We start from the raw sequence: 16,894 nt of genomic DNA, 5'->3' as shown, positions 1-16,894 counted from the left end.
TCTCTAGTGTATAGCCCACCCTCAAAGTAAAATAATAACAGCTTTTTTCTGTATTGGAAATAATCTACTATGCTACATATATATAACCAATGATTTAAAAAAATACCAAACCAATTTGGTCCCAATGAACAATTTCATTTTAAATTCAAGTTTATTTGGATCTAGTAATTCAACATTATTAAACACTTAATATTATTCAAAGATGATGAACCACATCTGATCTCTATTCACTGACAATACCTTGCCTACTTGAGTAGTTTCTTTCAAGGTCATGTTGTAAAAGTCTACCGGGGAATGACGATGTGTCTTTATTTAGCTTGAATTCAACCTGAAAAACATTATTAAAGAAAAAAATATTTGGAGACAAATTTAACACCAAGCAGTGAAGATAAATTAAAAAAACATATAATAACTGATACACATGGTACAATGTGGATGAACCTTGAAAACATCATGCCAAGTGAAAGAAAACTGACACAAAATACCACATTGGCAAATCCATAGAGATGGAAAGCATATTTGTGGCTTCCAGGCATTTAAGGGAAGCAGGGAATGGGAAGTAACTGCTTAATGGGTACAGGGATTCCATTTGGAATGATGAAAAAATTCTGGAACTAGATAGAGGTGATGGCTGCACCTCTATCATTGTATTTTACCACCCACAAAATCAGGATCAATTTTATGAGGTCAGATACAAGATATTCCAAGCTGAGACACTTCCAATCCCTCCACGCTCTCACCACAAATACAATGATTAAAAGAATCATTTGCTTCAAAAAAAAACACACAATATAAATAAAATGCTGTTGAAAAAATCACTGTTTTGATCATTATAATCCTTTTAAATGTCCTATTATAATATAATAAAATTGTATATTTAAGCCTTCTAAGAAAGGTTTTCACTTGATCTAAAACTGATCTAAAATAATTATCTGGTGGGAGGACTGAGAAAAACAAAACCAGAACAACTTCTTATGATTAGCCACAAAAAACCCCAAATATGTATCTTGAATTAATTAAGATACTTCTAATGTATCCATACTATAAACATTATGTTGGCATTTGCATTATATCCTTAGGAATTATATGACCTAAAGGTATTTTCTCAGAATAGATGTCCACACAAGAGAAAGTGAATGGTTTGGAAAAAATATTTAGATGAGGCACACAGCTCTAGAAACATTATAATGGTGGAAAAGGATTTGTCCAGAGAAATCAATTAGGAAAGCTCTGGAGAGAATCCATTATGCTCAATTATAATAAATAATATTTTCAATTAATCTAACTGCTGTTTATTTGAGATGATCAAATTGTCTATTTTCTGAGTGTTTACCATTTTCATATTCATATATAATGTAATCAACAGCTGCCTCCTTGACTAACGATGTCCTTCCATTTACCTTCCTCATGCCTTTTCTTACCCTTCTTCATGCTGTTATGTGTGAACTCTGCCCTTCACTTTAGAGTTCTTCCAGTGACGCCTATTTAATAACTTTTTAGGACACACCTGAATTGTGATGGTTAGAGGTTTCCAACTTGGTCAAAGGAGGAAAAATCATGTTGTGTCTTGAGACATAGTGTGTAGAAAGTAGGTAAGTATAAATGCTGAGGTGAGACAGAAAGGAAAGAAAAACATGTTTATCTCAAAATCTCAAAAATTAAATCAAAAGCCAGAAATTCTAGAAATGCTAGAGACATTATGGGGAAATAATCTTGGGGAAAAAAATCTCATATTCATATCGTAACTTCTAAATAACGTTAAGTCTAACATGTGTCCACTGCTAACCTATTTTTTTCTTCCCTGATTTTAAATGGGATGTGTGGATATGCCCTCCCAATTACCATTTTATCTAAGGTGTCATTAGTAGTAAGACATACCATTATTTTACCCTCTATTAAGAAAGAAAAAAAACCTCCCCAATTAAACTATGACATGCCATCAATTTTAAGAAGGCTCCTGATTTCAGAAATGTGTAAATATCACTGGGTGCGGTGGCTGTTGCCTGTAATCCCAGCACTTTGGGAGGCCAAAGCAAGCGGATTGCTTCAGCTCAGGAGCTCGAGAACAGCCTGGGCAACATGGTGAAACCTGTCTCTACAAAAAATACAAAAATATTAGCCGGGCGTGGTGGCATGCACCTGTGGTCCCAGCTATTCAGGAGGCTGAGGTGGGAGGATCGCTTGAGCCTGGGAGGCAGAGGTTGCAGTGAGCCAAAATTGTGCCACTGCACCCCAGCGCCCCAGCCTGGGTGATACAGCTAGACCCTGTCTCAAGAAAAAAAAAAGTGTAAATGTCAAAAAAAAAAAACAAAAAAACCCTTACCCTTTTGTAATCAATAAAATCACATTAAGTTTTTTAAAGAGGGCTATTTTAGCTTTATGTAGGCAGAAAGTAAGAACTAGCTTTAAACTGGAAATCAAAGCAAATCTACTTAAATTTTTCAGTTTAGAATCTATCTACACTTTAAGTCATGCTGCTATTTGTGTAGAATTTAAAACAATCTTCAATTTAAATGCCAACCTTCTTAAATCTTACTTTGTTTTTTTCAGGAAGCGATGATGTTTGAATAACCAGATGAAGCCCGCAGTTCACCTGAAATGTAAAAATTAAACCATAAAATTTGCTCTTAATACACAAACACATATTTCCAAAAAAAAAAAAGGTACAAACAGAAATACAACAAAAAAATAGAACACAATGCTCTATTTCTGTTTCTGGTAAATGATCTTGTTCTGAGGATTTGCTGAAAACAATAAAATCACATCTAAGAATTAAAAGGTTTCACTGATTTATTTTCCAAAATGTCGGCAGCAATTTAACCCTCTAGTTAGTACCTCAGGCTTTCGACATTTGCCATTCAGGTCTAAATAAACATCTCAATGAGACAGGTGAAGGAGGTGGGAGTCCCTAATGATAAATTCTCTTCACAGTTAAAAGGAAAAGAAAAGAAAAAGGAATTGACTGGCCAAAGGAATTTAAATAAACCCAAGCCTTTCACAGCAGACCAGCTCCACCTTCTGGGGAGCCCAGATCCTGGACAAGACTTTGAGTACCCATCATACAATATTAAATTGTGCCTTGGTCCAGCCCACGAACCTCAAACCCTGGTCAGACAATAGCTTGAGTAGACCCAGCGGTGCCGGTCCTAATAATACAGCCCATCTCCTAGGACAAAGACGCCAGTCAGAAAGAGTACCAGTGGGAAGAAAGAGAAAGTAGAAGGCCCAACTTACGTTGTTCGCAGCCCGGCCAGAAACAGAGCGATATTTCCCGGGAATCATGATAGGAGACAGTCCAGGTTCTCTGTTAGATCTGCCTTCCAGGTGACGCTACAGCGGAGATTCAAAGAGACCCGAAAGAGGTCATCTCCCAGGCAACCTGCTCAGGGTTACCATGGAAACGACCATTTCCGGTCTGGACCTCTCCCGAATCGATAGAGCCACACAGTCGTTGCAGCTTCTAGTTGTATTCGTGAGAGCCCAGTGCGTCACCACTTCCTCGTTCTATTTTCCCAGCCTCATAAAAACAGAGCGGGAGTATTGGGAGGAGGATAAGCTGGGGAAGAGGCTGGCCACACTGGTTGCTATAACCACCACCACTTCCGGTCCGTTCCTCTTTACGGCCCACCTCAGCGCTGCCCGCGCGAAATTTGTATCCCTCTGCTTGTGTCCACTGGCTCCTGGGGAGCAGCGCAGGGAGGAGGAGGAGGAAGATATCAAAGAGCCCTCCCATTGGGGGCCCCAGATCGCCACTTCCGGTGACCAGAGGTAGGGAAGGAAACAATCCCGACCCGGAGTGGACAGGTGAGGAGGGGAGGACTTGCCTCGCCGAGGCCGCTGCGAGGAGCGTGCCCAAGGGCGAAGGTCCAGGGAACCCGGCTCCCGCGCACCGAAGACGGCCGCCATGCCGGCCCGTTGTGTGGCCGCCCACTGCGGCAACACCACCAAGTCTGGGAAGTCGCTGTTCCGCTTTCCCAAGGACCGGGCCGTGCGGCTGCTCTGGGACCGCTTCGTGCGGGGTTGCCGCGCCGACTGGTACGGAGGCAATGACCGCTCGGTCATCTGCTCTGACCACTTTGCCCCAGCCTGTTTTGACGTCTCTTCGGTTATCCAGAAGAACCTGCGCTTCTCCCAGCGCCTGAGGCTGGTGGCAGGCGCCGTGCCCACCCTGCACCGGGTGCCCGCCCCGGCACCTAAGAGGGGAGAGGAGGGAGACCAAGCAGGCCGCCTGGACACGCGAGGAGAGCTCCAGGCAGCCAGGCATTCTGAGGCTGCCCCAGGTCCAGTCTCCTGTACACGCCCCCGAGCTGGGAAGCAGGCTGCAGCTTCACAGGTAAAGAGAGACCACCGAAGGTTGTGTAAGGACCCCTGGACTCTGGCTGGGCTCCTCCACTTAGTGTCACCTTGGGAAAGGCACCTCATCTCGAAAGTTCCTGTTTTCTAATCTGCAAAGTTAGGGGTGTGCTTTAGAGGTGATCTCCAAGGTCCCACTTATCATTAACACTTTGGAATTAAGTGACCCAGTTAATTCCTTCTAACTGCTCCTCCCCCAAAACTCACACACACACACACACACACACACACACACACACACACACACACACACACAGAGTCTTGTCCTGCAGAGTAGTGAGTTGCTTTCACTCGCTGCTCCAGAGTTTTTAAATAGAAAGGGTTTAATTTGAGCAAATCTCCAGGATTGGAGTGCTTGAAACTGTGTTGCATAACATTACATAAGCTTGAGGAAAGTCCCTTATTTGTGTCACAAATGATGGGGCGAAGGAGATGTGGAGCTACAGATGAAGATGATGGAGCTTGCTAATAAATCCCTTCCCACCCCAAGCTTCCTTTATGACTGATAACTAGCTCCAGCTGCCTTTAAGTTCAGTATCCCTAGTGAGCTGACTTTCCCCATCTTGCTCTCTTCTGCCTACTTTTCTGTTCCTTCTAAACATTGTTTGCACTCATTTTGCATCTGGTTACTACTACCTTCTTCCCCACGTACCATTTTAAAGAAAACTTTCCAGCCTTCCTTGTGATAAACTTCAGCCTTGCCACCATTACACAGATTAAATTATAGCAAGAGGTTAGTAATTTCCTCAGGGGTCTGTAATCCTTACTTAGGTCCGGTTGCCAGACCAACACTCTTTCTGCAGTACTAACCTGCTTCCTACATTGGGGTGGGTATTTAAGACCCTTTAATGGCATCTTGCAATTATTAAGATAAAGAGCAAAATTATTAACCCAATTTACATGGCCCTGCATGTTTTTTCCCCCTGCATACCACACTAGCCCTAACCAAGGCCACTGTCCCTGTTGCTCACTGTGTACCATCATGCTGACCTTTCAGTTCTTGGACATACTATACTATATTACTTCCTACCAACAAGACTTTGCTCAGTTGTTGCATGTATTATAATATCCTGGAACTATGCCCCTCCCACTCCCATCATTGCCAATTAAGTCTTTTTCCCTTAAAAATCAGCTAAACATCTTTCCCCTTGATCCCTTAGTTATGTACTCTCATTCTTCGTGTACTCCATGTGATTCAATAGCACAGATACTTCAGTAGCACTTACCATAATTGCCATGAAATAATTGTGTAGTTTGCTTAATATTTGTTTCTCATATTAGAATGTAAGCTCCATGAGAGCTAGGATCATGTCTGATTTCTTTGCCATTGTATTGCAGTGCCTAAAACAATATTTTACAAATTTAAGTAATTCAATAAATATTTATGGAATGATTACATGACTATAAGAACAAATTTTTGCATTATAATTGAATTTTCAATTATCTGCCAGTTTCCCTCCTCACCAAGCTGTATACCTGTCAAGATAGCTGTCCTTTCCTTGAACCATCTGTCCACCATCACCACCTATACAAACTTTGCCCAAACATATACATCCACATACATATATATGTGTGTAGCAAGAGAGATAAATACTAAACATGTGCCACACACATCCCCCTACACCATTTTTCTTCTTCATAATTACACAACCTAATCAAAAATTGGGAGAAGAAAAGCCAAGCTAGTCAAACAACCAAAGTCTTTATAACCCATAAAAACTAACCGTTGGGAAACAGATCCAGCATACATAATAAATCTGTTTTCCATTTAGTAAGTATAACCAGCCAACATTTATAACAATCCATAGTACATTAATATACTTGCTGAATTACTAGAAAACTGTGAGTTCTAAAATAGTCACTTTAAAAGTATATAAGGTTAAAAAGATTTTGAGTTGATAGCAATAAATGTTTAGCCTGGTCTGGATAAAGAACCCTAACCACATCGCTAAAAAATTGGCTTGTCTATCTGACTTCTTCCCCCACCCAATGTTTTTCTTCCCAATCCCAGGACTAACTGTCTAAAAATCAGATTTCCAGTGATTCTGCAACATTTATTGAAGAGCTATTGTAGACACTGTTCTGGGTGCTTGGTGCTATATATGGATCAATATAAATATGAGTGTTACATATCTTTAGGGGGCTTCCAAAAAGATAAGACACCACTTCCAAGGAAAGAAAGGGGCTTATTTATTGTTTTCCCTTAACTGTTAATTTTGCATTCTTTTTTAAAAAACCCAACTGAATTTTTTAAATTGTTGACTTGAACTATAGCAAATACACAGAAAAGTGAACAAATCTTAAGTGGACAAGTCATTAAATTATCATAAACTGAACATGTGTAACCACAACCCAAGTCAAAGAAACAGAACATTGCTAGCACCCCAGGAGTCCCTATATCACCCCATATCCAGCCCCTCCCCTCTCCTCAAAGGTAACCAAGTTTGCTTTTTTTTGGGGGGGGGATTTCATATAAATCAAATCATACTGTAGCCATTTTCTGTGTCTGGCTTCTTTTGTTCAACATTACATTTTTGAGATTCATCCATATTGTTGCATAGAACAGTAGTTCATTTTCATTATTATGTAGTATTCCATTGTATGAATATACCAAAATTTGTCTGTCTATTGTTGAACATTTGGGTTTTTACCCATTGGGGCTATCATAAGTGATACTACCATAAACTCTTGTATATGTGTTTTGGTCCACGTGTGCACACATTTCTGAGGATATATACCTAGAATTGCTGGGTCATAGTATTACATTAAACTTCAGTAGATAATACCAAATAGTTTTCTAAAATACTTGTACCAATTTACACTTCTACCACAAGTTTGATAGTTTCCATTGTTCCACATTCTTGCCTATACGTGGGATTTCTAGTCTTTCACATCTGAGTCCATTTGCAGAGTGCGTAGTAATGTTTTTGCTTTTCATCCCCCGATTACTGATGAAATTAGTAAGGAAACACCTTTTCAAATATTAATTGGATATTTAGGTAGCCTTCAGTGACATGCCCTTTTAAATCTAGCCCATTTTTCTGTTGGATTGTCTGTCTTTTCTTGTTGATTTAGAATTTTTAATAGATTCTACCTGGAAGTCCTTTTTCAGTTAAATGTTTTTATCTTCTCCCACTATGGGTTGCCTCTTGGTTCTTAATAATGTCTTTTGATGTACTGAAGTTCTTAATTCTGATGTAGTCCAAATTACCAATAATTTTCCTTATTCTTAATACTTAAAACATTTTACTATGCTGTTTGTAATAAACTTTGTTGTTTTTACTTTTTATATTTAGATCTAATTCAGAATTGATTTTTGTGTTTGGTGTGAGGTAGGATTTAAGTTTCATTTTCCCCAACATTGATACCCATTTGACTCAGCATCTTTTATTGAAACTACTAGCATTTCTTCTTGGCCTTGCAATGTCAACTTTGTCATAAATCAAGTGCCCTTTATATGCATAGGTCTGTTTCCACATACTTTATTCTGTTTCACTTATCTGTTTGCCTAAGCAAAAGTATCACAGTGTCTTATATAGCTTTATTAAGAATATTCAATTGATTAATACCTCTTACCTTGTTCATGTTTGTGGATATTTTGACTATGTTGGGCTCTTTAGATTTCTAGATACATTTCAGAATTGATTTGTCAATTTTCACAAGTTACTCACGAGGATTTTGATTATGACTCCATGGAATTCATAAATGAATATGGGAATAAATGGCATATTGACAATATTGACTCTTCTAATCCATGAACATATATCTCCATTTATTTGGGTTTTTAAATTTTTCTTAGAAGTGTTTTGTGGCATTTGATGTAGAGGTCTTACATATCTTTCATTAGATTTATTCACAGCTATTTGATTTTGCTACTATAAATGGTATTTTAAATTTTATAATCTATAAGTGCATATTGATAAATTAATTTTTGTTGAACTTGTATCCAAAAACCTTGTTAAACTCACTTATTAATTTCAATAGTTTATAAATTCTCTTGAATTTTATACATGTACAAAAATATCATCTGAGAAAAGCGTTTGATATTCGTGTTTTTATTTCGTATTCTTCCTGTTGCACTGGCTTGAATGTCCAGTACAGTGTGGGAACAGAAGAGGTGAGGGGAATCCTTTTCTCATTCCTAATTTCAGAGGGAAAGCCTTTAATATTTCCCCATTTGATTATGATTTTTACTATAGTTTTTTATAGCTCTCTTTGTAATAAAAAGAAATGTTCCCCTTTATTTCTAGTTTAGATTATAAATAATGGTGAATTTTATCAAATGGTTGTTCTGAATCTATTAAGGATAACATTTTTATTATGTTAATATAGTAAATTATATTGATTGGTTTTAAAATGTAGAGTCAAACTTGCATGGCTAAAATAAACTCAATTTGGTCAAAGTGTTTTATTCCTTTCTCATATTGCTTAATAAAATATTAGCTAAAATAAAATATTTAGGATTTTTGTATCTGTGTGCACGAGTGAAACTGTTCTACAGTTTTTTTCTTTCTTGGAATGCCTTTCTCAGGTTTGGTATGAAGATTATGCCAACAGATTTGGAATTGTTCCTTCTTTTTTCATTCTCTGGAAATGTTTATATAAAATGGCATATATCCATTAATAAATTTGGTATTAATATTTGGTAGAACTCATTGATAAGACAGGAGTTTTCCTTTTGGAAAGGTTTTTTATGATGGATTCAATTTCTTTGTTATAAGGTTATTCAGAGTTCTTTTGTTTATCCATTTTGATAAATAGTATTTTGTTTATCCATTTTGATTAATAGTATTTTTTAATTTGTCTGTTCCATCTAAATTTTTAAATGTATTGACACAAAACCTTCATGATAATCTTGTATTTGAAAAAAATTCTGTTTGAGCTGAGGTAATTTTTGCTTTTTCATTTTTTCTTGATCAGCTTCACCAGATGGTTTATCGATTTTTTTTTTTCTTTTTTAGACAGAGGCTCACTCTGTCACACAGGCTGGAGTGCAGTGGCGCAATCTCAGCTCACTACAACCTCTGCCACCCGGGTTCAAGCGATTCTCCTGTCTCAGCCTCCCGAGTAGCTGGGATTACAGGTGCCTGCCACCGCACCCAGCTAATTTTTGTATTTTTAGTAGTGATGGGGTTTCACCATCTTGGCCAGGCTGGTCTTGAACTCCTGACCTCGTGACCCACCTGCCTTAGCCTCCCAAAGTGCTGGGATTACAGGCGTGAGCCACCGCACCCCACCGGTTTATCAATTTTTATTAGTCTTTCCAAAGAACAAACTTTGCCTTGTTGATCTCTCTAGAATTTTTTTTTCATTTATTTCACTTATTCATTATTCCCTTCCTCTGCTTTTTAAAATTTTGTCCACTGCTCTGTCTTTAACTTCTTAAGAAGTTAAATTATATCATTGATTTTCAGAATTTTTATGGTGAATGTTAAATGGTGCAGCTAAGTTTCACAAGCTTATTTCACAAATGTAGAATTCAGTAAAGTGGTGTTGATAGAGGAAAATCTGGGTCCTGAGAGGGGGCTATGTTAGAGATATTTTGTGGAATACCTTTTGCATGATATTAATAATTCTAACCTAAATTAAGCCCAATTAATTTTCCTATCCTAATATATGCATTAAAGATTATAAGTCCCCACCTAACATGGCTTTACTGAATCTTACAAGTTTTAGGTATGCAGTATTTTTATTATTTAGTATAAAATATCTAATTTCCATTGTGATTTTATCTTTTATTCGTGGGTTAATTAGAAGTATATTTTTTAATTCCCGTATCTCTGGGCATTTTTTAGTTAAATTTTTGCAATAGATTTCTAGGTCAATTACACTACTGCCAGAGAAAATGCAATATATGGACTTAATTTTTTGAAATTTGTTGAAACTTGTAACATGCTCAAAATAGTTTTTTAAATGTTCCATATGTACTTGAGATGAATGTGCGTACTGCACTTGGATAGTGTTCCACTGATGTCTATTAATCATGTTTAAATTTCCTATATCCTTTTGGAATTTTTATCTTAATTACTAAGAAAGTGATGTTGCAATCTTCCACTGCGATTTTGAATTTACATATTAATCTTCAAATTCTACCTATTTGGTGGTATATATCTTGAAGCTATGTTATTAGGTTATTAGCAATGTTATTAGGTATGTATATATTTTGAAGCTATGTTATTAGGTATGTAGTGCTAATATAGCAACACCAGCTTTCTTTAACTTAGTGTTTGCATAGTACATCTGTTTCCATCCTTCTACTTTCAATCTTTCTGTGTCCTTAAAAGTTTAGGCATTATTCTGTCCTATGGTTACCCCGCTGAAGAGAATGTATCTTTTTTCCTCTGGCTGCTATTAAGTTTTTCTCTTCATTTTCCAGTTTTACTGTAGTGTGCATAGGTTTGGTTTCTGTTGTTTTTATTTTGATAAATAGAAAGGGTTTATAGTACTTTTGTAAAGGCATGTCTTAATGCCTTCTATCCATTTTGATAAACTCTCAGCTGTTATTTGTTCAAATATTGCGTCTGCCCCATTTTATGTTATACTTTTAAATCTTATCCCCTATGTCTGTTATGACATTTTCTGTATTTTCTATTTTCCTTTTGTCTCTTTCTGCCTTGTTCTAGATATTTTCTTTTGACTCATGTTCTAGTGGATTAATACGTGCCTGGAAATTCTGCCTCTAAGCTTTTAATCTGAAGAAGCAATCGGATATCTACACAAGAGATTTATGTTCAAATATTCCTAGTAATATGGATTGTTTTAATAAATTGTAGTATATCTGTAGAATACATTCCTATGTGGCAATAAAAATTATGATTTAGAATATTTAATAACAGATTATATATAAAATAAGTGGGAAAACTAGGTTATAAAGCATTATATTATCTCAGTTTTTAAAAATACACATAAAAAGACAACATCAAAATATAAAGTTTTAGCTATGGATTGTGAGATTATGACTAATTTTTAGCTTCTTTTTGCTTCTCTGTATGGTGCAAATTTTTGCAGTAAAAAATGTATTATTGTTATAAAGGGAATAAAAGTTATTTTTTTAACCCTGATTAAATTTCTAAAACTCTATTTTATCCAGAATACACCTTTTTGTAAAGAAATATGTGTTTATTCTGGACTTTGACAATGCTTGGCTTAGAAGTAGATATAGCTAGTGAAAATTGGTCATGATTTAATAAACGTGGAGATAAACCCTTTAAATAAGATTTGTGTTACAAAGGGACTCTTCACAGGAATTTCTTTACAAAGTTTCTTTCTTTTTTTTTTTTCTGTGTGTATATATGTGTGTGTTTGAAACAGAGCCTCACTCTGTCGCCCAGGCTGGAGTGCAGTGGTGTGATCTTGGCTCACTGCAACCTCTGCCTCCCGGCTTCAAGCAATTATTGTGCCTCAGCCTCCCGAATAGCTGATGTACCACCATGCCAGCTAATTTTTGTATTTTAGTAGAGGTGGGGTTTCACGATGTTGGCTAGGCTGATCTCGAACTCCTGACCTCAAGTGATCTTCCTGCCTCAGCCTCCCGAAGTGCTGGGAGGCGTGAGCTACTGTGTGTGGCCACAAAGTTTCTTTAACTTGGGTATCAATAGCCTATGATACAGCCACCAAAGACACCTACTAAAATATTTTTTCAGTGGTTTGAAGGCAGCTGCCACTACTGCTAAACACTTTAATTTTGTTTTCATTTCTCTATCACTTACTTTCTCTCCTCCCAGGCTCTCTTAACTTTTCCAGATATCTTTTCTTACCGTCTTCCACATAATCTCTAGGTACCCTGTCTTATATTACCTTTTACATATCAAAACCCTCCTTCTTTCTACCTCTCACCCATATTAGTTCCCCTACAAATCAAATTTCACCGCCTGGCACAATAGCACACGCCTGTAATCCCAGCACTTTGGGAGGCTGAGGCAGGCGGATCACTTGAGGCCAGGAGTTTGAGACCAGCCTGGTTACCATGGTGAAACATTGTCTCTACTAAAAATACAAAAAATTAGCCAGGCATGGTGGCAGGCACCTGTAATCCCAGCTACTTGGGAGGCTGAGGCACGACAATTGCTTGAACCCGGGAGGTGGATGTTGCAGTTGCAGTGAGCCAAGATCATGCTTCTGCACTCCGGTCTGGGTGACAGAGGGAGACCCCTGTCTCAAAAAAAAAAAAAAAATTCCATTTCACAATGTAGTTTTTCTCAGGAAAGTATTAAAAGTCACTTATCTTATTAAAGGAGACTTCTATAAAGTATAAAGAACAAATGATTAGGTTTTCTAGAATAATATGACTGCTAAGATATCAAATAAGTTAATACTGATAGTATCATCTTGGTTGGGCGAGGTGCCTCACGCCTGTAAACCCAACACTTTGGGAGGCTGAGGCGGGCAGATCACCTGAGGTTAGGAGTTCGAGACCAGCCTGGCTAACATGGTGAAACCCTGTTTCTACTAAAAATACAAAAAAATTAGCTGGGCGTGGTGGCGCCTGCCTGTAATCCCAGCTACTTGGGAAGCTGAGGCAGGAGAATCACTTGAACCCGGCAGGCGGAGATTGCAGTGAGCCGAGATGGCACCATTGCGCTCCAGCTTGGGCAACAAGAGCAAAACTCCATCTCAAAAAAAAAAAGTATTATCTCTTCTAGCTTTTGATTTAAGAAAAAAAAAAATTAGTTGTAAGCAAATAGCTTATGCATTCTGGCTGACCAGAATTCATGATTTATAAGTGGAAAAAAGACAATATGGCAGAATTCATAAAAGGTTGGACTATAGATTCACCTTGCCTAGGTTCAAATATCAGCCTTACTAATATGTGACTGAAAATTTTCAGCTATACTGTCTTACTACTTGTAACTTTTGAAAGATAAAATCCTATAAGGTACACTTTAATATGTTTCTCCTCTGATTTGTATTTTTAGATTACGTGTGAAAATGAACTTGTGCAAACCCAACCCCATGCTGATAATCCATCTAATACTGTCACTTCAGTACCTACTCACTGTGAAGAAGGCCCAGTGCATAAAAGTACACAAATTTCTTTGAAAAGGCCCCGTCACCGTAGTGTGGGTATGTTTTGACTCTTCAATGGATTAAGCAATTGAATTGATCTTTCGTATATTAAAGATATATGAAAAGCAAAGTCTAACTCATAGGTACTTATGCTTATTCTCTTTCAGGTATTCAAGCCAAAGTGAAAGCGTTTGGAAAAAGACTGTGTAATGCAACTACTCAGACAGAGGAATTGTGGTCTAGAACTTCCTCTCTCTTTGACATTTACTCCAGTGATTCAGAAACAGATACAGACTGGGATATCAAGAGTGAACAGAGTGATTTGTCTTATATGGCTGTACAGGTGAAAGAAGAAACATGTTAAAAACTCAACATCAAATGCTCTGATGTGCTATAGATTTTCAAATCTTTACTCACATAATTATCTCTTTGCTATTGTAAATCTTTCACTTCAAGATAATTTGACAGTTGAGTATCAGCATAATTTGTTTAGCTCTAAGGCAAAAGTTTGCTTGCTTGCCAACACAATGAAGATAATACCTACCCACAAACATCCCTATTCTCTACTTTCACCTTTTTTTTTCTTTTAATCCTTTTGGTAGAAATCAGGTTACAAAGCAAAACCACAATATCAGCAACACTTCCTAATCAAAATTAAGCATTGAATATTTGTTTAAGCTTAGTTCAGAAGCAACGCTCCTACAGGACTTGACATTTGCTAGTTAGAATATCCCTACTCTTCTAAATAATTTGAAAGTATAGAGCAGTAACACAGTAACAGTGAGCACAGCCAAGCCTGACACTACTAAATGATTTGGTAGTGAAGCCAGGACATCTACCCTTGACTATTTTTTATGTTATTTATTTATTAGTTTGTCCATTTGTAACATGTATAGATCTGTCCTGTGAGCATTTCTGATGAATCTATGGTTCTTACAGAAATTTTTCAAAGGAATCAATTTAGAGATAGAGTTTTCATATACTTACATTAACTTATTAATGAAATCTGTTTGCATCAGTGCTTACTGCGACACATTAATTAGCTTGATTAATTTAGATTAGAATCATTAACATCATGAAAAATAAAAGTACTACATTTCTAACGTATTCCCATTGCAGGTGTTAGGTATTTTTTCTGTCAACACCTCTCTTTTGAATTCTACATTTGAGAAATAAGCATGGAAATATTAGCTGCCCCGTCTGCCATTCACCAGGAAAAATTTCTATGGCAATTTTGTACCATGAAGTAAACTGTTACAATAGTTTCTGAGAAGCATACTATAACTCTGATCTTCCATTGAGAATAACAAAAATAAATATCAATTTTACACCTCATATGTCTTCTTAGTTCTGAATGATTAGAAGAACTTGCATGTATTTTTATCCTAGAAGGTTTAAATAATACATCAAAGTTATTTTCTTCCAAATGTAATTTTATGTCTGCTTTAAGGAAAATAAAATAAAATATTAATAGGAGTTGTGAGCCTGAACAATGATTGTGTAAAAACATAGCATTATTATTACTTTCATTATTGTTACTGCTATTTTGACTTGAATTTGAGATGACTGTTTTTTGTTTGCTTGTTTTAGAGACAGGGTCATGTTCTATCGCCCAGGCTGGAATGTAGTGCTGCAATCATAGCTCATTGTAACCTCAAACTCCTGGGCTCAGACGATCCTCCCACCTCAGTCTCCTGAGTAGCTAGGACTATAGGTGTGTGCCACCATACCCAGCTAATTTGTTTTTTAAATTTTTTGTAAAGATGGGGTCTCACTACATTGCCCAGACTGGTCTCAAACTCCTGGCCTCAAGCAATCCTGCCACCTCGGTCTCCCAGAGTGCTGGGATTACAGGCATGAGTCACTGGACCTGGCCTGTTTTAAGAGAGCATTATGTTTTAAAATGAATCACATAAATCTTCTGAAGCTAAATCCCATCAATAAGTACCCTTTGAGCTTTGAAATAGCCTATCTCCTTAATTCAAACCATAATGAAGTTACATGCCCATTTGTCCCCAAATTTCACTGCCATGAATCTACTTCATTTCTACATGTTAAACAGTTTTGACAGCCATGTCAACACTTTTTTTTTTACTCTTCACTTAGTTTTCTTCTTCCACCAATTGAGTATTTATACTTGATTTGCTGATTTGCATGATCTCATAATTTATTGTGTATGTTTCACTGCCCTTCACAGTAAAAGGAAATACTGGCTTTATTTTAAATGACGTATAAGGAACTTATAGTTTATATTATATTGTTTGATTTTTGCACAAATATTTTTAATTTATTTAGTTGCTAGACCAGTTTAGTGGGGGGAAAAGTTATATTTACCTTAGTACCTCCCATATCATTATTCAATTTATTTATTCATAAGTATTTATCAAACATATACTCTGTGCCAGACAAGTGTTCACTAAGGATACATTGGTGATTAAGACAAAGATTCTGTCCTGGCGCTTACCTTTTGGTGGGGGAGGCAGACAATTAACAAGAAAATGAATGGATAATTTGAGATAGTGATTAGTGCTTTGAAGAAGACAAAGTAGGAGAAGATGTTAATTGAGGTGGGGGGAGAGGTTTGTTGAGCTGTTTTAGATAGGGTAATCAGAAAAGACCTCTCTGAGGAGAGCATATATGATCAGAGACCTGGATATCAGAAGGAGTGACCACGCAATGATCTGAGGGAAGAGAATTCCAGGTGATAGGAACAGCAGTTTCTCTGGTGTGTCTGAGGAACAGTAAGAAGACTAGGGTGGCTAGAGATAATGAATGAGGCAAACAATGGTAAGAGATGAAGTTGGAATGGTATATAGGACCAGACCATGTTACGGTATCAGAGGCTACAATCTGGAATTTTTGTTTTATTCTGGGCTTAAATTCTATTTTAAATGTGTTCTTATGATTGGTTTAATTATCTGCCAGTATTTATTTCTTAAACTTACTTGGAAAAGTAAGTTTAAAAAATCATTGGACTTTAGGTGAGAGAAGAGAGACATGTCAAGAGTATGTGAATGTAAAGCTTATTCAGTCAAAAATATTCCTCTGTGGGACTTCTGGAAAGCTGCAGGCTTACTGGCCTAAGGAATCAGAGGTAGGAATTCAGTGCTGCCAGAGTGAAAAGTGATGGGGCAAGTCATGGAAAAGAGGAAGCCAGAGGGGAGGAGACCCCAAATCTCATAAACTCCACCCAAATCTCTGACTAATCATGAGCTATGCCTGTGTTGTGACCTCTGGGGGCCCGGCATAAAACAACGGTTGCAAGCCTTAGCTTAGCTGCTACTCATCACAGTGGAAATGGAGTTTGGAGTTTGAGTCCAGCCAAGTTAACCAGCTGTTAAAACAAAATTCAAGTGTTTAGGAAGAAGTTAACAATTTATCATCCAAAATGTCCAGTATAATTTAAAATGACTAGTCATGTGAAGAAATTAGAAAGTGTGACCTAATATCAACACAAAAAGGAATCAATAGAAACCAACCCCAAGATGACCAGAAGTTGGAACTGGCAGACAAGAACTTTAAAGCAGTTATTATA

The 16,894-nt window shown here is 37.1% G+C and overlaps 2 protein-coding genes across 6 annotated transcripts in view, besides 1 other annotated feature; one reads left to right on the top strand and one right to left on the bottom strand.

Annotated features, from left to right (window-relative positions):
* The window catches only part of LRRC49 (leucine rich repeat containing 49), a 200,281-nt gene that overhangs the window by 157,482 nt on the left and 25,905 nt on the right, over positions 1 to 16,894 (bottom strand). For 2 of the 5 annotated variants that reach the window (NM_001199018.3, NM_017691.5), the window contains exons 1-3: positions 3,235 to 3,351; positions 2,537 to 2,593; positions 241 to 328 (exon numbers count right to left, since the gene is read on the bottom strand). Coding sequence is in view for 3 of the 5 variants with exons in the window: in NM_017691.5 (NP_060161.2) it covers positions 241 to 328; positions 2,537 to 2,593; positions 3,235 to 3,282 (193 nt within the window). In the remaining 2 variants the exon portion in view is untranslated. Of the gene's footprint in view, positions 1 to 240; positions 329 to 1,507; positions 1,606 to 2,521; positions 2,594 to 3,234; positions 3,352 to 16,894 lie in introns of those variants that run through there. The other 3 variants (NM_001363732.2, NM_001199017.3, NM_001284357.2) reach the window with 3 other exon arrangements.
* Positions 3,391 to 4,089: an enhancer, noted in NCBI's record as "H3K27ac-H3K4me1 hESC enhancer chr15:71184427-71185125 (GRCh37/hg19 assembly coordinates)". NCBI's record gives its function as "activates a minimal SCP1, AML or CMV promoter by ChIP-STARR-seq in naive H9 embryonic stem cells {active_cell/tissue: H9 hESC(naive)}" and the evidence as "EXISTENCE:reporter gene assay evidence [ECO:0000049][PMID:30033119]".
* On the top strand, positions 3,744 to 14,835 carry THAP10 (THAP domain containing 10). The gene is made up of 3 exons (NM_020147.4): positions 3,744 to 4,333; positions 13,269 to 13,416; positions 13,527 to 14,835. The coding sequence occupies exons 1-3, from the start codon at positions 3,905 to 3,907 to the stop codon at positions 13,721 to 13,723; spliced, it is 774 nt and encodes a 257-aa protein (NP_064532.1). The 5' UTR covers positions 3,744 to 3,904; the 3' UTR covers positions 13,724 to 14,835.

The sequence above is a fragment of the Homo sapiens genome, chromosome 15, assembly GCF_000001405.40.
Source record: "Homo sapiens chromosome 15, GRCh38.p14 Primary Assembly".
Classification (NCBI taxonomy): domain Eukaryota; kingdom Metazoa; phylum Chordata; class Mammalia; order Primates; family Hominidae; genus Homo; species Homo sapiens.
The sequence above is the reverse complement of the archived record's forward strand: the minus strand, read 5'-3'. Positions and strand labels throughout refer to the sequence as shown.